The 19044-nt window shown below is 39.1% G+C and overlaps 1 protein-coding gene across 6 annotated transcripts in view, besides 3 other annotated features; it reads left to right on the top strand.

Annotated features, from left to right (window-relative positions):
• Window positions 1-19044, top strand: part of GLI3 (GLI family zinc finger 3) — a 303320-nt gene that overhangs the window by 40765 nt on the left and 243511 nt on the right. For all 6 annotated transcript variants that reach the window (XM_047420208.1, XM_047420207.1, XM_047420205.1 and 3 more), the window contains exon 2: window positions 209-374. In XM_047420208.1, coding sequence (XP_047276164.1) covers window positions 251-374 — 124 coding nt within the window. In that variant the 5' untranslated portion in view covers window positions 209-250. The remainder of the gene's footprint in view (window positions 1-208; window positions 375-19044) is intronic.
• Window positions 938-1446: an enhancer, noted in NCBI's record as "OCT4-NANOG-H3K27ac hESC enhancer chr7:42261657-42262165 (GRCh37/hg19 assembly coordinates)". NCBI's record gives its function as "activates a minimal SCP1, AML or CMV promoter by ChIP-STARR-seq in naive and primed H9 embryonic stem cells {active_cell/tissue: H9 hESC(naive and primed)}" and the evidence as "EXISTENCE:reporter gene assay evidence [ECO:0000049][PMID:30033119]".
• Window positions 8543-10272: an enhancer, noted in NCBI's record as "VISTA enhancer hs1213". NCBI's record gives its function as "enhancer in: hindbrain (rhombencephalon)[5/6] | midbrain (mesencephalon)[5/6] | forebrain[3/6]" and the evidence as "EXISTENCE:transgenic organism evidence [ECO:0001131][PMID:17130149]".
• Window positions 8948-9522: an enhancer, noted in NCBI's record as "OCT4-NANOG hESC enhancer chr7:42253581-42254155 (GRCh37/hg19 assembly coordinates)". NCBI's record gives its function as "activates a minimal SCP1, AML or CMV promoter by ChIP-STARR-seq in naive H9 embryonic stem cells {active_cell/tissue: H9 hESC(naive)}" and the evidence as "EXISTENCE:reporter gene assay evidence [ECO:0000049][PMID:30033119]".

The raw sequence follows: 19044 nt of genomic DNA, 5'->3' as shown, positions 1-19044 counted from the left end.
TTCTCTTTTTTGCTTGTGTAGAGTTTCACTGGTTTGTTAAATTTTGAGACTTTTTTTTTTGCCAGAAAACCTGTGGAGAAGTGTCATCCACATTTTGAATTTCCTAAAGCTCTAGGCTTTTCTCAGATGACAGGTGAAGTGGACTTTTGAAAGTTTTTTTTTTTTTTCCACCATTTTGGAAAGTTGATGGCTCTGTTGTTTTCTTTAGGGCATTTTTGGTCGAAGAGAGCTGAAGTAATGAGAAGACATCATGGAGGCCCAGTCCCACAGCTCCACGACCACTGAAAAGAAAAAAGTTGAGAATTCCATAGTGAAGTGCTCCACTCGAACAGATGTGAGCGAGAAAGCCGTTGCCTCCAGCACCACTTCTAATGGTGAGCAGCACAGGGATTACCAGCAGCCCAGCCTGGAGTCATTTCTGTGTTCTCTGCATTCCTTGTGAATTGAGCGTTTGCACCTGGACCAGTGTTTGTTCTAGGAGACGCTAAAGAAAGCAAATGGAGCAGGGGCGGGGGGACGGCGGGGGGACATGGAATGTAGTAATCTCTATTTTGGCACTCAACCTACACGTTGACTTCCAAACTTTCTAATTTGAGATGTAAATGTGATAGGTTATTTATTATCAGAAGTTCCTGTTTTGGCATTTTGGAAATCATCTTGACTAGTCTGGCAAGAGTTCAAAATGCTTTGTGTTGCATATGGATCATCTACACTACTCGGAATAATTAGTACAAAAGACACAAAAGTTGTCTTGTCAAAATTAGTGACAGGACAGCAGTCTCCTCCAACCCCAACTTTAAGTAGTCTACTTTAAAGGATTTTAAGAATTGTTAATGACTGAACCTCAAGGTAATGTTAGTATCTGAGATGCAGGTTTTGTTGTTAGCTTATAAAAATTTAATTTACTTATTTGTGTTCAGAGATAACACAGAGCCACTGTTTCTGTATTCTGTGTTTTTAAAGTTTAAGCAAAGTGTTGAGAGGCATTTCAGTTCAAGCATGGAGTGTTGAAAATAAATTCCAGAGCATCCCTGGTACAAACAGACTGAATATGTTAATGGTAACCTTCACTTCCTGTCCCTGCTGTTTCTCCATTGTGGGCCACTAATGCCTTTCCTTTTTGTAGATTTCATAGCCATTCTTGGCCTCCCTGAATTTCTCTGCTTTTCCATGGGCCTTTAGGAAGAATGAGCTGGCCCGTTTTCCTCGTTCCTGGACACTGCCTATCTGGGCACACTGATTTGTATGAGTCAACCTGCTATTCTTATATTTTCTATATTCCAAGACAGGTTTTACTTGATTGATTTACAAGTTTTTACATCCACCTAGAGAGTCAGAATCTCCTTTGGAAGGTAACTGCAGTCCAGAACATTAGACTCTAAGGGCATATACTTCCAAGCAGCCTGGCCACTTCTCTCTGGGTCCCTCCATGTCTGCTGAGAGCCTGTGCTTCTCACCTGCACTTCTTCACCCGGTTTCATGAGTGTGCTTTGCTGACTGTACTGGGTAGGGAAGGAGCTGGCTCTTAAACCTGCTGGCAAATGACTTCAGTTTTAAATTGATCCTGAGGGAGATATATTTACGTCTGAGTTAAAATAATGAATTTACATATATGTGAAAATATTTCCTCCTTTATTGATGGTATTTAAAGTCAAGACTGGAGCTTATTTTAATTGAGCCAGAATATTTGCATTTTTCATCCAATGTGGTTATAGAAGGCATTTCTCCTTAGAAATATGTTACCTTGGTTTCTTTTTTCTGGAATTGGTAAAATTTAGGCAAATTTATTATTTCAGAAATAGAATCAGTATATGCAGTGTTGGTTATTTGGTAATTTTTATGGTAATTCTGTCGGAATAAATGCTTCCTATGTACTTGGCTTCAGGAACATCAGCTTTTGGTTATCTTTATAGTTTGCGTGAGTGCACATGCCTGTGTGTGAGGGTGTGAGTGAGTGTGAGTGTGTGAGGATATGTGTGAGTGTAGGCAAATGTATGCGTGAGTGTGTAGGTGTGTGGGTGTGGGTGGTAGAGGTAACTATGAGTGTGCATGCGTGTGAGCATGCATATGTGTGAATGTGAGAACAGGCAAGAACAAGTGCATGGCAGAAGATGTTGCTGCACTGCATGGAGCCTGCAGAAGCGCCTGTCCTGTTTGTCAATCTCAGCTGCATGGCCACAGAGTCTCATTCTTATGAAGATGCTGTTGTTTGTGCCACTACCACACCTGGACACATTCTCAGGAGGTCTTCCACTGCAGCTGCATTTGTCTTGAGTTGGTCTTGGACCTCGGGTTTCCCTCATGATTCTGTTGAGGGTGATTGGGAACAGAACTAATCTGACCAGCCCCACAACAACCAGAAAGCCACGAGATAAAACTAGCCAGAGAAGGAGCAGTCATGATTTACAAATGTTTGTGCTGCAGTGTTAAATAATCACCTGTTTCCTCAACCACACTCCCCTGGCTTTCTGCCCTGATCAGCTTGTGCCCTTGAGCCCACATTTTCTCCTAAATGTGTATGAATCCTGTCCTGTTTGGGGACCGACATTGATTGGTCAAACTTGCAGGGCACATGCCTGAGTGATAGCTGTCCTAGAAATCTGGCGAACTCTGGCCAGTTTTTCAGTGTTCCTGTTTCTTCTAAGAGATTTACTGTTTTATATTTTGGGACAAAAATCAAATAAAAGAAAAATGGAAGTGGTGTTTTTAAACATGGATTGCAAGCCGACAGGCAGATTCTTGGAAAACAAATAAATCTAAAGAGAGGAACAAGTAAAAGAAAGGACAATAAACCCTTTCTTTGTGTATGTGATGCTAATAATTACCATGGTCTTTTTTACAGAGTCCTCTACAGTTTTCATCTAACTAGTTCAGAGCCTTTTTACAGTCCCAGGATTATGCTGAGGGGCGTGGATTGCTGGAAGCGCAGAGGCCCTTTCTTCTGCAACCTGGTCACCTGCTGCCTCTGCACTCAGTCTTGATCACAGGGACTGGTGTGTGGGCTTTGGACCTGGCCCTGTCTGGGTTTAGAGCTCGTGGGGTGCAGGATTTCCAAGTTGGGACACTATTCGTGTGCTGGCTGGTGGTTGACATCGCCATGGCCCTCCATCCTTCTGTCCATCCATCTGTCCCTCTGTCCCTCTTCCTATCTTTTCTCTTTTTCTCTATGAATATTTCATAAATGCTTGGACCCCTGCACTGACGCTATTCGTAGAAAGGAAAACAGAATCATATGGATGCTATAACAGGTAGTTTGATTGCTACTGTTTCCAGAAAGGTTCTTGTGCTTTCTTTAACAAAGCCCTGAACTATATCCATTTATAACTGAACAATTAAAAATGAGTTCAGTTTCGGCCAGGCCCGGTGGCTCACACCTGTAATCCCAGCACTTTGGCAGGCCGAGGCGGGCGGATCACCAGGTCAGGAGATCGAGACCATCCTGGCTAACGCGGTGAAACCCCGTCTCTACTAAAAATATAAAAAATTAGCTGGGCGTGTGGCGGGTGCCTGTAGTCCCAGCCACTCGGGAGGCTGAGGCAGGAGAATGGCGTGAATTCGGGAGGTGGAGCTTACAGTGAGCCAAGATCGTGCCACTGCACTCCAGCCTGGGCGACAGAACGAGACTCTGTCTCAAAAAAAAAAAAAAAAAAGAGTTCAGTTTCAAAAACCAAATGAATGTGATACCTGCATTTTCTCTCCTATCCACCATTTCATGATTAAAATCACACAAATGAACAAAAAGTTTTGTTACTGGCTGAGTTATTGGTGAGGTTGCTTTAATTAACTTTTCCAGCCATTCTGTGGTGCAATTTGTTCTTCATTGTGAGCTTCCCAGCCAAACCACTCACATTCCACTGCATGTCCTTGCAGATCTGTTTTCGTACTTTTCTCAGCTGAGTATCTGCTCCTGGAATAACATGCGTATAGAGTTTTGTTTAAACATACGCAGACCCACAACCAAAAGGTACAGTTCAGAAAACTTGAACAGCTTTTTAAAGAAGCATTTGCCACTTAACACTGAAATTTAAAATAATGCAAGTGAAAAACTGTGTTGTAGATCTTGTATGACAAAAAAAAAAGGCAAGTCAAATTTGATTTTTGTAACATTTAGGAACCTATATCAACATATAAAGCCTTTGGTAATCTTTATGCAGGAAGTACAGTGTACCCGTAGTTTCATGTGCCCATAGTCTGATTTTAAATTTTATTGTTATATTTGAAGTGTAAATGACGAAGGAGATGACATTTAGTTTTCTGAATTATTTAAATGCAATTGTGGTTTAAGTGATCATTTGTGGCATTTCACATATTGGCTTTCCCATAGAAAGTATGCATGCAGATCTTAGGTATAATTGTTGACTTTAAAATGTCCAAGTCCATTAATGTGTGAAGACTGTAAGTAAAATGCCTTAATAATCTCTTTTTGATGTAGATGCATTACTTCATAAGCTACATGTTGTGTTTTCTAAATAATAAGAGTTTTTTTCATCTAAATCTTCCAATGTTCTACATGTTCTCATTCTCTTATAAAATTTTTTTCAACAATTTGCAAATACTGACTTTTCAATTTGAAGTGTTTTGCCTCATTTTTGGCCCATGATTTCGTTTTAAAGGAGTAATTCGATAGTTCTTATTAATCTGCAACTCGGCTTTAAAAAAGAAACTAATGATAAACGTATGTAGGCTGTGGTCTTGGGGATCTTTTATCAGATCTGATAGTTATTGGGAACATACTTTAAAGTGATAGAAAGCAGAAATTATTATCCTAACGCTGATGCAATGTGAAACCAAAGTTGATAGATTAATGATGCAAAGGAAGTTCCCTGTTCACTTTGATTCTTTCAAAAACAAGAATTTGGTTCTTTGCTTAAAAAATTATTTTCTTCAAGGTTGGTAAGGGGAAAGTGTTATGGTCTGCAAATTCCTAAGGAGTTGCTTTTTTTTTTGCTTTAACTTTTGGTCACTTCTTGGCCTTGCAATTTGCTTTTAAATTGTCCATTGCATGGGTGTTGTTAGGTTGGTGCAAAAGTAATTGCGGTTTTTGCCTTTAAAAGTAATGACAAAAACCGCAATTACTTTTGCACCAACCACTGATTGTGATGTCTGTTGGTCTTCTAGCTGGGAGTCAGATGGCTTTGAGTTTTGTTGGAAGTTTGAAATTTATCTGCTATTCTTCACCATAAGCTCTTGTCTCCTTGACTTTTTTTTAATGGTAAGAGTATATGTGCCAGTTCTGCTCTGAAATGGGCAGGCAGTTCACGCCATAAAGAACATAGGTTGTGAGTTTTCGGTTTCTTGTTTCTATAGAGGTCCAACCCTTTTTCTTTGCCACATCCCATTTCCTGGCACATGACAGATACGTGGAAAGGATGTTCAGATAAAATGGATTTCAGATCATAGGATGTTCATTTGTAGCACACACAGGTTCTGGGATCTGAAAGCTTGGTTTGAGTTCTGGCAACACGAAGGACTAGCCATGTGAGTGTGAGCAGATTAACTTTTCAGCGTTCTAGTTTCCTCATCAGTTTCGGAAGACAATAGTAAGACCTACTTCACACTTCACAGGCTGCCGTATCATAAACATATAGGAAGGACTCTGCAAACGTTAGCCTCTGCTATTAGGACAAAGCATGTTGGTGAGTTAAACGTTATGAATCCAAAACAAAAAGATTCTGTTTTCTTGAACATACACGTCAGTTTTCAAATTAAGGGAAATATGTTTGCCAAAAGTAATGGTGAATTTGCTGGACTCAGATGTCTGAAAAACAGTTCAAGATGTTTCACAAATCCCAAATGTGACTAAGTTTGCACATCTTAAGGAGGGATGGATTAAAAAAAACAAAGTTTCTGTAAACTTCCTTGTAAATGCCTTCTTAAATCGGAAAATAGGGAAGATAATCTTGGGAAAATTTATTTCAGTTTCCTCAACCTTGAAAGCTAGTGTTGTACTGATTATATGCTATTGCATTAGAAGCAGCATATATACATCCTTTTTCTTGATTCTTTTCCTGGGTTGAACTGGTGGTTTGTGCTGTATTCGAATTAGATTTTATTTTTTATAGAGAGTTTTTATGTTTCTAAACCAACTAACTGATGACAAATATTCTGATTCTAATAAGAGCCCCGACTCTCTTGAGCTCCAAACTCACATGTCCTGAACTCTGGTTACCACTGTGTTCTTTATTTTGGCTAAGTATATCACCTTTCCTGTGGTCAGCCAGGCTTGAAACCGCACCATCACCTTTGACCCCTCCTTCTCTCCTGCTCCCATGTCCTACCGGTTTTGAGGTCCTGTTAGATTTTCCTCTGTAATTACTCGCTCGTGTGTCTCTTCAGGCCAACCTACTGTACTGTGTGGTGAAAACCCTCACACCTCATGCTTAGATGATTAAAATGACCCTCTGTCTAATCACCTTGCCTTTCATCTCCACTCTTGTCACGCATGGGACTTGCTCCTGCCAAATTAGGCTTATTACAGTTCTGCTTATGCCACAACCCTGCTCTAAAAGCTCCAGTGACTCCCAGCTACTTGTAGAATAAAGCTCAAAGTCTTTGACTTAACATTTAGATATCTTCTAAAATCTGGCCCCAGTCTGACAGTCCAATCTGATATGTTCAGAAGTAGATATGCTACTATCCCATCGCATAACCTATGCTTTAGCTAAATGCAAGGGCTCTTGGCCTCTTGTCCATAGAAATGTTTTGCTAACACCAATGCATGTTTAAATTCTCAAATGTGAATATGTCCCCAGTCTCTTTCTCTCCTCATAAGGTCTTGTGTCCTTTGGGGAACTAGCTTATAACACTAGATTTTTTTATTTTTAAAATTATTATTATTTTAAGTAATAGACTTCATGTTTTAGAGAGGTTTTAGGTTTACAGAAAAATTGAGCAGAAGACACAGAGAGTTCTCATATACCCCGTCATACATACTTTCCCCTCTTATTAACATCTTACATTAATGTGGTACATTTGTTACAACTGATGAACCAATATTGATGCACTGTTATTAACTTTCCATCATTCACATGGGGGCTCACTCTGTTGTACAGTTGTATGGGTTTTGACAAATGTATGTCACATATCCACCACTGCAGTATGCTACAGAATACTTTGAATGCTCTAAAGATCCCTCATGCTCCACCAGTTTATCCTGTCCCTTCCTTCACAGCACTCAAGTTTTACATTTTAGTTAAACTTCTTGAGAGTAGCACCTGGTTTTTCTACCTTACCCGCTCCCTGCTCACATTCAGTGTGTTTGCTGAGAGGGCCTCAGCAGATACTGAATAAACCTGCAAATTACAACACTTTGAGACAGGAGGGCAGGGGACATGTGTAACAGCATTAGTGTTGTGCAGTTAGAAGCCAGGGTTTGAGCCCTATCCCTACCACGTAATTGCTGTGTGATCATGGGCTAAGTACTTAACCTGTCTGACTCTGGCACAGAGAGTACCCAAACATGTTAGCTATTGATAGTAATAGTAATATGACTCTTATGGGTATAATTTGCCAGGATTAAATTTATTGATGCATTTCATCTCACTCCTTTCAGCATAACATCAGTTGTTAGTATTCTCTGAATGGTTCGGCTTTAGTCTGATTGAGGATTGGCTAATTGAGGATTGAGGATTGAAGGATTGGCTAATAGGAGATCCTTACATGAGGTTGGTTATCAGGTTCTAGCTTAACAGGCTAGAGTTAGGGAACAATATCTTAAATCACTGGTCCTGAAATTGGCACAAGTTGGGATTTTAGCTATTGGATTTCTCCTCAAAAAGAACAATTCCTGGGATAAATGAATATCAGATAAATCAGGAATAAATATCACTCCCATTTTTCAAATTTAAGAGCAAAAAGAAGTCACAGCATGATGTTTTGCTTGGATGGGATGTTTCTGGGTTGCCTTTGATTACATGTGATCATGGGGTGTGAACATTTCAAATTTCCAGAAACAAGCTGCTCAGAACCAGAAACAACCACCAAATAGTGGATGCTTAAGCGGCGAAATGGTGATGATGGGAGGAAAATCTCCCTCTGGAGAGGTAGTTGGTGGCCTCCCACCACCTCCTGCTCTGACCCCCAAGGTCGAGGAGGGCTTGCTTTTCCAGGCAGCTTTGGGGAGACTGGGTGATAGTAAAAGCAAAAAACTCCCTGTTACCTTGTTTACATAGAAACGTTTCCAGATATGTCTGCTTTAGTTTATTATTTGGTAAAATTCACATACAGTAAGATTCACTCTTTGTGGTGTGCCGTTCTATGAGTTTTGAAAATCCGTAAGTTCACATAGCTGCCACCACCATCGAGACACAGAACGGTTCCAGCACCTCCCCAAAATTTTGACCACCACTTGTGCTTTAAACTCAGCTCAGTAACGCATATGGTGTGAGTCCCCAGTAATGATAGAAAGCATAGGAACTTCAGTAGCTGCTTGATGCTGTGTTCATTTCACATTAAAAACAAACAAACAAACAAAAAACCTGTTTCTTCTGGGTCCTGTTAGCAAAACTTAGTGTTAGTTTCTTTCTTCTATTTAAATATCTTATGTCGAATTTGTAGTAGAACGAAAATCTTTTTGAAAACTGTTCAGAAATCTACAACCTAAAGCATCTGCTATTTTGAATCTTTTTTTTTTTTTTTTTTTAGCATCCAGTGAATGTACATTTTAGGCCAATTTAAAATTCCGTTTTATGTTTAAAACTACAAGACAGCCATATTAAAGGGCTTTTAGTTATTGTTTTTGTTACTTTAAATTAATTACATGAGAAAATTAGAATCTGAACACTTAATGCAGCTATAACCTAAAGGGAAAATAGCAAATGCTTTGCTATTTTTTTTTTGTCTTTTTTTTCTTTTTTTGAAGCATCTTTCCCCTTTCTTCTTTACTTATATAGATTGGACTTTGTCTCAGGTAGACAGAATTTTTGTATTAAAGTTATTCCTAGTGCAATTTAGGCTGTTATTTTTTTTTTTCTTGCTTGCTCTTTTTTCCCTTTCTTCGACTCTTTCCTCTTCCTGGTCTCTTTCTTCCTGTCTCTTTTTTTTTTCTTTAGTTGTAGAAAGTTGAGTTCCATCCCAATTATTAAATCTTAGGAGACCATTCCCACATGGTTCCGTAAATGGTAGCTTCATCCCGCATTCTTTCATCTCTTTCCCTGCTCTCTGGCTTGACAGTTGAAAAGGTCTGACTGTGCCACACAATGGTTTGATTGGTTTCTCTGGGGGAGACTTTTCCCTGCCTCATCATTCGCCAGGCAGGTGGACCAGAAAGTCTCTTGATTCTTTTGTTCCCTCTCAAAGTCCGAGGTCTTTGACTGAATAAATCTGCCGTCATGGGATAATTTGCTAAAACGAGACTGAAAGATGTGAGAGAAAAGCCTCACTACTTGGGTGCTGCATTAATGAAATAACGGGGCCTTGGAGTTTGCAATTGAAAAATCACCAGGAATGCAATGGGTGGAGACGGGCTTCTTTTATTTCCCATAATAAACTTTTAGTTCTATCATTTAAAGCATGCCTGTCCCTTTGCTCGCCTGCAGGCCCGAGTGTGTTTGCATTTGTACCCATGTTTAAGGGTTTCTGGGGACAGCCCTGCCCGGCTGAAAGCCGTTTGGGTGCTGTGTCTAGTTAGTCATTAGATTATTACTAGTGGGTGGAAAGAATTCCATATGACACAACTAAGGTTGAGTTAACACAGGACGAAAAGTAATTTACAGATAGGCTGTCCCCAGCCATCTTTGTAGCCCCTGATAAGGTTTCATTTCAGAATGGATAGGCGACATTTCCACTTACGGGCCCATTCTGCGACACCTGTGATAACAGCTTCTGGATCCTAATTGAAATTGGTTTCAAAATGGATTTTCACTTTTCTCTGTCTGTGGAAAATATTGAATGGACTCAGAGCTGCCACAGAGAACCCCAGACCTTGGAAAATGGAGCAGAAAGCTAGGATCATCTTTCATAACAGTGTCGATGATATGACAGTTTTGTTATCTGTCTTATTAATGAAATCATTGATCACCTGATGAGGGAGATAATAAACTACATTTCACCACCAGTCACGAAACTCAATTAGACTGCTATTACAAATAGGGAGGGGGAGAAAACAACCATGGAATAAATGTAGAAAAGGTCAATTAAAACTTTTCATTCCCGAAGTGACCATTTCAGAGGAGAACATGCTGAGTGACTGCAGTGCAAGTATTTTGAAATTGTAGTGGTCAGCATTATATTCAAGGACTTTCTTCTTGGCCAATGTAGAGTAGCTGGCAGTTTTATTAAGTAAAATTTTATTTCTCAAATATTACTTGTTTCATTATGTAAAATTCAGAAGTAGAAGGGGAAGTTCTGCTTTGTTTAAGCGCATCATAATGGGGAAAATGGGAGAAAAAAATCCACAGATTCTTTCCCTCCCCACATGGTGACGGGATTTGGGGCCAGCCCCAGGTAGGTATGTTGGGTAAGGAAGAACAAACTGAAAGGCTCGTAACCTAGGTTCTTTGAAAGAAAAGTAGCTTATCATCCCTTCCTCTCTTAAAGTGCTTTAGGAATCCTAGGAAGATGAGACGGGAATTAGGTTTGGATTTAATGAGGTGGCTCTATTGTTTGGTGTTGGGCTGCTCTGGAATGCGCTCTCTGTTCCCCTTGAAGGAAGGGAAGAGATGCTGATGACCTCTCATGTTTCACAGTGAATTGTATTCCTAGGTGTTTCTCCATTCTCTGTGCCAGCAAGGATCAATCCATCCCATCTGAGCTTGAAAGAGGAGCTGTGATCAAAGGCGCTAATGATGTCACTGATCTCTGCTGATTGATTAGGAGCAGAAGTTCTGGAGAACTCGGCCTTTCCTTATAATTTCAAATTCATTAGCGTCTATTAGGATTGCTAGCTCTCAATCCGCAAAATTAGAAAAATGAATGATACAGACAATAATTGTGTTTTTCTTCATCTATGACTGTTTTTTAAGCTTATTGGAACCATGGTTACATTTTATAAGCAACCTTTCCCTTTTAAATATATTGCAAAGAAATGGAGTCTTCTTTATAAATTGGGTTAAATATTTTGGAATTTGACATATAAATTGGGAAAAATATGTGGGTGTGAAGATATTTACATTGTTTCCAAAGCAGTTTAATCACATACAGATTACATGTTAGATAATCCTAAAATATATTTAAGTGTTTTATTAACTTGGACATTCAGGAGTTTCTTATGCAGATTTTAAAATCCTTTGAGTTATTTTTGTGGAACTACCTAATATTTTCCCCTTGTCATTCAAGAGGATGAGTCATTTCTGTGTGCATATTTATCTTTAAAAATAAAAACAAATGCATTTCATGCCAAGAGATGACAGTCTTACAATTGGGAAAGACGCAACTGGAAAGGAAAAAATAAAAAGCAAGAGGGAGAGAGAAAGAGCGAGATGTCTCTTTCTGGAACTGCTCACGACTGTAACCATTGGCTTACATCCACCTAGAGTAGGGATCAATTGCAAAAGCATTGGGAAAAATTCTGTTTTGGAAGGCACTGCAGCTCAAGAAAGAAAAGTTGAATGGAAAATGGAGAATGTAAATTATTATTAAGGTTACCATTACCTTATTGGTTTGCTGTTGGTTTTCTAGGACTCTTGCTTCATGCTTGCTTATGGCTAATTCCTTTCACAGCAAATTCATTTTGAGGACTGCTCTGAGCAGAACTGATAAATGTGTTTGTGGTCAAGGGTGGGTATAATAAAGAGAAGAGATGGTGCAAATGAACCTTTGGGAGGACATGGCGTGGCAGTTATGAATACTAGGCTTAGTTAATGTCGAAGACTCCCCTTTCACAGAATATTTTTTGTTTTAGTGGCAATGATAAGAAAAATAATCTGAGACCCTTACCTATAACCAAAAGAGAACTTCCAGAAAGATTTAGAACAATGGCATGGTTGAAATAATGGAACTTACATCAATGTAAACATTTTCTGGTAAAATATGAAGCTAATATACAATTGAAGATTTGTTCCAAGCATTTAAAAACCAGAAAACATACGTTGGTCCATTTCACATTAAGCTTAAATTCAATCTTTCCTAAAATACTAATGTTTCTAGGCTTGTTTTCAAATCCTGGCAAGTTTGAGAGCAGTAGAAAAGTTCCTTTCTTATAAACGTTGACAGCAGTTCCTGTGTAGGCTAACAATGTTTTATAAATAGAGTTTACTTAGCAAAAACCATGTGTATGCCCAGTGAAATAATCTCACATTTATTTACCTTTTGATTTATAGAAAACATGTGCCCTCTGACAAAGCCTTTCGGCTCTTTTCCGCAATTAAAAAGAATCATGCTTGAAAAAAATAGCTACCGTCTTAATGGGAAACTTTTTCACATAAATTCAAAGCACTTTCTTTGATCAGTTTCGTACAAAATTAGAATATTTTTATCCATCTGTTTGGCCCAAAAAACTGGATGACTCAGGGAAAAATAAAAGATACTTATAAATCTCTCAGTTGTCTGTCTACATGTGTATTCACACACACACATATCAGCATACATACTGGCTGAATATTGGGGAATCCAAGGATTAAACAGGCTGGTGCAGTGTTACAGCAGAAAAATTTCTCTTGTTGCTTGTTCTTGCCAGTGACTAGTGTTGGCTTAGCACAAGGTAGTTTGTTGGTTTTTCTAGATTGAAGAGGAAACATGGTCCTACACGTACCTATTGCTAGGCCTTCATCTGGATACATGCAAAGTATCTCTGCCTTGATTCTCTTCAACAACAACAGATTGTAAGGAGAGAGAGAGATAAGATAATTTGCAAATCTCTTGTCACTCCCCTTTTCTTGAAAAAAAAAGATATGATTTTTAAAAAGCATGTTTTATTTTCGTTTACTACTTTTTCAAAAAGTTCAGAGTTGCGAGTTAGGGGTAGAAGAGAAAAACCCTTTCTTAATAAAGAAGTGATAATATTAGCTGGGACCAGGCTACAAAATACTGCTGAGTCACTATTCCAGACTAGATCCCTGGTATTCACACTGCTCTGGGGGCAGGGAGGTTGGTGGTGGGGAGAAAGTGAGTCTCTATCAAATATAGAAACTTTATAATACTGGGGTATACTAATAATACAAGTACAAGTCTTACAGGTAAACGCCAGCATAACTTTGTACCTTATTTTAACTTGGGGGGGGGGGGGGGGCTTTCATTTTTGAATAGAAGTGAGGGATTATATGTGCTTAAAAACAAGAGTACAATTTTTATAGAAATTCTCTCTTGTGGTGATAATGTCAGTTTTCAAGCTCTAGGAAAGCCTAGCTCCTACCTCCGTAAACAAATACCATTGACCACAGTGACAACGACTTGAAGCCCAATATGAAATCTAAGGGAAATGAACCATGTTCGACAGCGGGGCGTCTTCACCAGCAATCCCAAAACCCTTGACCTTGATGGAGAGGCATCTGAGAATGGGTGAACCCCTTTGGAATTATTTTACATGGCACTTTATGGACATGGGCCTATGCCCTTTTTTTTTTTTTTTTTTTTTTTTTTTTCAGATTCTTAAAGAGATGTATGACCCAGCATTTGCCAGAGGCTCTCCTTTACAGGGAGTATTTGGAGCTCTAACTTTCACTTGGAAAATTTAGGTCAAATGATTAGAATTCTCTTTGGAGGAATGATGATCTGTAAGAGCAAGACTGTCTCAAAAAAAAAAAAAAAGAGAGAGAACCTCTCAGTGATTAGGAAACGTGGAGCTGAGTCTTTCTCATATACAACATGATGTGATCACATAGTTGTAGCCTAGCTAATTTTGTAGTTGGTTGCACATTAAGAATTCAAAAGATTCTGCCTGCACATCACTTTATCTGTGAAAACGAAGGACTTGGGTCACATGATTTAAAGAGCTCTCTCTCCCTTGATATTCTTGATATTCAAGTCTCCATGACAGGGGCTCCAATTTCCACAGGAATTTTGCAGAATGTTAAATGAAAGGAAAGATGTCCCATAAATAAGGGGAGCTGGAGAAGAATGAGTTAATATAATTTAAGTTTAGAACAGGAAATTCAGAATTCCTTTTAAATTAAGCTGTGTACATCACATGTATGGGTCCATCTTGGGTTAAAAGCCACTGAAGATTTTGTTTAGGCCAAAATGTACTATCACATTGTTGAGTCAAATACTATTCCAGAGACCAGGCATGGTGGCCCATACTTGTAATCCCAGCACTTTGGGAGGCCAAGGAAGGAGGATTGCTTGAGGCCAGGAGTTTGAGGCCAGCCTGGGCAATATAGCAAGACCCTGTCTCTACAAAAAAATTATTAAAAAATTAGCTGGGCATGGTGGCTGTAGTACCAGCTACTTGGGAGGCTGAGGTGGGAAGATCACTTGAACCAGGAGATCAAGGCTGCAGTGAGCTATGATCATGCCATTGCACTCCAGTGTGGGCAGCAGAGTGAGACCCTGTCTCTAAAATAAAAATTAAAAAAAAAATTGCAAGTATTTTGAAGGGTACTCTACAGATAAAAGTTTCAGGTACAAATTCAGGGAGATTTTGCCCAATTCTGGCTGAATTGCTGATAATTACAATTAGCTGCCACAACAGCAGTTGATCCTTTGAAATCTGAAATGTGTGTTTTCTTGATTTAGACTTGGTATTATTCATTACCCACCAGGCTTCCTATACTCATCTTCCTGGAAGAAGATGTGTGTGGCAGCCAGAAGGAACATTTTGGACTCTTGTGTGACTAACTCCTCCCAGATCATGGCCCTCTTTCAAACCTCTTGAACATCCTCATAGAGTGCTTTGCATAGTTTTCTGTTTGGCATCTGGTTTTATGTAGTTATAGTTCATCATGGCTTCACTTAGAGCTTTTGCAAATTTCTTTGATGCTAATTTAGTTGCATTAAACTTTTTGGAGTGGAAAAAAGAAACAAAACCAAGAGTACAATAAACTTTGATTACCAGACCCCTAAACACTGAACCTCTCAAGTAACCCATATTTGTAATTTATTCTTTCAGATTGGCATTTACAGGCGGGAGCTGGGGAACGTTGTTATTGAAAAGTTAGGCAGCAGCGTTCAGATGCAGCTGAAGCAAGGGCACTAAACTTTCACAGGGACACTTGGAGAAGGTGCTGCATCATCTAACGAAGATTAGATGGTTTATTATATAGAAATTATTAAAATAATTCATTTTAGAAAGAGTTCCAGTAAAAATGGAGCCTAAAGGAGCCCCAGGAATGCAGGACGCCTCTGACTTCACTGAAGGCCACATAGCCTGCTCACTCCAGCCTGAGACCTTAGACCCATCCATGCTATTCCCTGCTCTCCTCTGTCTTAAATGTGTTTTTATTTTTATTTTTATTTATCTACTTATTTTTTGAGATGGAGTCTCCCTCTGTCGCCTAGGCTGGAGTGCAGTGGTGCGATCTCGGCTCACTGCAACCTCTGCCTCCCAGGTTCAAGTGATTCTCCTGCCTCAGCCTCCTGAGTATCTGAGACTAGAGGCACGTGCCACCACGCCTCGCTAATTTTTGTATTTTTTAGTAGAGACGGGGTTTTGCCACGTTGGCCAGGCTGGTGTCAAACTCCTGACTTTGGGTGTTCTACCCACCTTGGCCTCTCAAAGTGCTGTGATTATAGGCGTGAGCCACCGTGCTCGGCTGTGCTTTTATTTTTATGAAAGGAATACTTGCTCATTGGGAAATTCAGAAAAGCATAAAAGAAAAACACGAAGCTGGCCTGGAATCTCACCACTTGGAAAATAAAAGTTAACACTTTGGTATATTTTCAGTCTTTCTCTCTGTTCAGGTAACCATATGCTAGGATCATTTTCTGTGTCATGAACCACTCTTCTCCAACTTGGCTTTAATAGCTATGAATTTACTCAATCAATCCCCTATCATTGGACATGCACATTTTTTTTCAATTGTGAATAATGATGTGATGAAATTCCTTCCAAAAAAACTGTGTGCTTTGACTACATCTTACCCAATTAGCTCCAAGAAACACAGCAACTTATATTTCCATCAGCTGTTTATGTGAGTGCTCATTTTCAGAAACACGTATCAACATTAGTGAAATATTTTAAAAGAAGATAGGATAGGTGAAAACCTTACCTCGCTTTTTAAACTTTTTAATTGAAATACAATACACAGATTAAAAAGTCACATAGCATAAGTGAGCAGCTTGATGAATTTTCTCAAAATGAACACACCATGTAAACAGAGCCCAGGTCAAGAAAGAAACGCTCTGTTGATCCACGCTACTGCTGATGGGCATTTGGGTGGCATCCAGGGTTTGGCTGTCAGGAACATTGGCTGCCAGGTAGCTGTCTTTTGGTGGATCTGAATACACATTTCTATTGGGCATAAACCTAGGAGTGGAATTATTGTCTCCTAGGGTATGCATATATTAGCTTTAGTAGACACTGCCTAATACTCTTCCCAAGGGGTTGTATAGACTTGCTTCTCATTCGTGTCAACACTTGGTATTTTCTGTATTTTTCACTGTAGCCCTTCTTTGGGCTATGCAGTGGTATCCAGTTGTGGTTTCATTTGTCTCTGATGACTGAGGGACTCAAGTATCTTTTTAAGATATTTATCGGCCGTTTGGATATCTTCTTTTCTGAAGTGTCTGTTGAAGTCTCTTTTTTAAAAAATTTTTTAGTTCTTTGTGGGTAGATAATTGTTTACCAGTTTTTCTATCACTGATTTGAAGTGATACCTGCATTGGTTACTGCCTTAATATATATTTTAGGTTCTTTTTCTGTAAAATTTTATTGTATGATCAACCTGTCTATTCTTTTGTTGTACCATACTCTTTCAGATGTTATACACAGAGTACATTTTATCTGATAATGCACATTATCTCTTATTATTCTTCCTTTTCAAATGGCTCTTGGCTTCTATTCGATTTTTTCTTCTAGCTGAACTTGAGGAACACCTTTGTAGAACTATGTTACTTATTGAATTCATATGTATGAAGTGAAAGTATAAAAACATGCATGGATATAATCATTTCTTTAATAGTGGTTAACTCTGGGGAGAGTGGAAAGGGAACAAGATGGAGAGGGTTCAGCTCTATCTGTATTATCTTATTTCGTTAAAGAGAAGAGGTTTTAAGCAAATGTAACAAAATATTAACATGTATTAAACCTGTGTGGCGGATACCTAGATGTTGCTTATGTTATTCTCTGAAATACGTCATGATTAAAAGTATCCCTTTAGAATTTATTATTATTATTATTGTTATTATTATTATTATTATTTTTTAGATGGGGTCTCGTTCTGTTGCCCAGGCTGGGGTGCAGTAGTGCTATCTTGGCTCACTGCAACCTCCACCTCCCAGATTCAAGCAATTCTCCTGTCTCAGCTTACTGAGTAGTTGAGACTACAGGCATGCACCACCACGCCTGGCTAATTTTTGTATTTTTAGTAGAGATGGGGTTTCACCATATTGGTCAGGCTGGTCTCGAACTTCTGACCTCAGATGATCCACCAGCCTCAGCCTCCCAAAGTGCTGGGATTACAGGCATGAGCCACTGCACCTAACCCCTTCAGAATTTAGTCTGGTGTTATATTAAGCTAACTTATTGGGCTTTATTGTAATTATATTGGCTGTGGGAAGCAATCTTAGTCGTTTTTCTGTGGCATTCTCACAAGGTTACTCTCTTCCCAGGCGTATATCAAAGCCACACAAATGCACACTTGCTTTGGTGTTTACATTTTGCATTTATCTTTAGAAGTGTTTTAAAAAAATCTGTCACTTATAAGAAAATACGTAGGAAATAACAGTTGGCAAGACCTAACAGGTGTTTGCTGTGTTTTCACCTTTTATACTTTAACATGTTCTGGAAGCAATTTAGTTTTACTTTTGTCTCATCTGTCTTGAACTGAAAGTTGCAGGTACGTTGATGAGTACTCTGGTTAATGTAAACACCTCTTATATTGGCTCAGGAAAAGTACGATTCTCCAGCTTCTCTACAGTGGGCTGCATGCTTATTAAGTCACACCAGCTGCCCTCTCTGTTCTTTGAGAGTGGCATCTGTTGTTTGGTGACTTTTTCTTCTGAAATCTGTCAGTGCCAAGGACAAGGATTAGGAGTGGGTTGAGGCTGTTTGTTATTTGTTTGTTGTTGCTGGGAGTTACTTAATAGTGGTGGAAAAGGCCAAAGGAATATTGGAGCTCTTACCCTTGACCTTAAGTTACCCTAACTTTAGGGTAACCTTAGTCAACTAATGACTTACAGGTGCCAGACTTAAGATAATGCTGGTTGTCAAATCAAAGAGAGAAGGTATGTGTAGGATGTGGTCTCAGTTCCGTACATGGTATGTTGCTAGGATGCGTATGTATGAGGTGGATTCTTATAAAAAGTATCACAAACACCTTTAAGAACACCACATAGCAGGCTATACATCCCTTCAAAGATAAGAAGTGTCACCGTCTGAGGTGTAATTCCAGCAGTTTCTTAAGCCTCAACTTCGTACACTTGAAAGCACACCCACAACCTGCTGCTGAAAGCTTTTGGAAGTCATTGAGAGACATGGCTCTTGTTTATTCTCCAAATTTTAAATCATGCAGCGTTTGGTTGGCCTTTTGTCTGAGGAGATACAAATTTATCATAGCCATGTCAATAAGTACAGAAAATTTGCCAGCCCACAGAGAAATTTGAACTTCCTTCCTTTCCCGAAGGAGAGTCTCGGGGAAGTCGTGCATACAATAGAACTTTTCATGTCTAGACCTGGTCCAGGAGAATTCTGTCTCATAAGAACTTTTCTTTTTTCCTTAGCATACTCAAATGGAATCAAGCTCAGAAAGAGGTTGGGGACAGAATTTAGGGAAATAAAATATAGAAAACCCTGGACCATCTATTTTCTGAACTCCTTTGCAGTTATAAGTGTAAGGATTATTTTTACTGATGTGCTTCCATAGTCAACAAACACTTATTGAGGCTGTGCTAAGTGCCAGGCACTTTATTTGATTGTGAGGATAACAAAATGTGGGGCCTGCTGTTAAGATATTTATAATTGGATAAGTAAACTAGCAAAATTCAGTACACTTATTAAGTGCAATGTAAACA

This window comes from Homo sapiens, chromosome 7 (genome assembly GCF_000001405.40).
Source record: "Homo sapiens chromosome 7, GRCh38.p14 Primary Assembly".
NCBI lineage: Eukaryota > Metazoa > Chordata > Mammalia > Primates > Hominidae > Homo > Homo sapiens.
The sequence above is the reverse complement of the archived record's forward strand: the minus strand, read 5'-3'. Positions and strand labels throughout refer to the sequence as shown.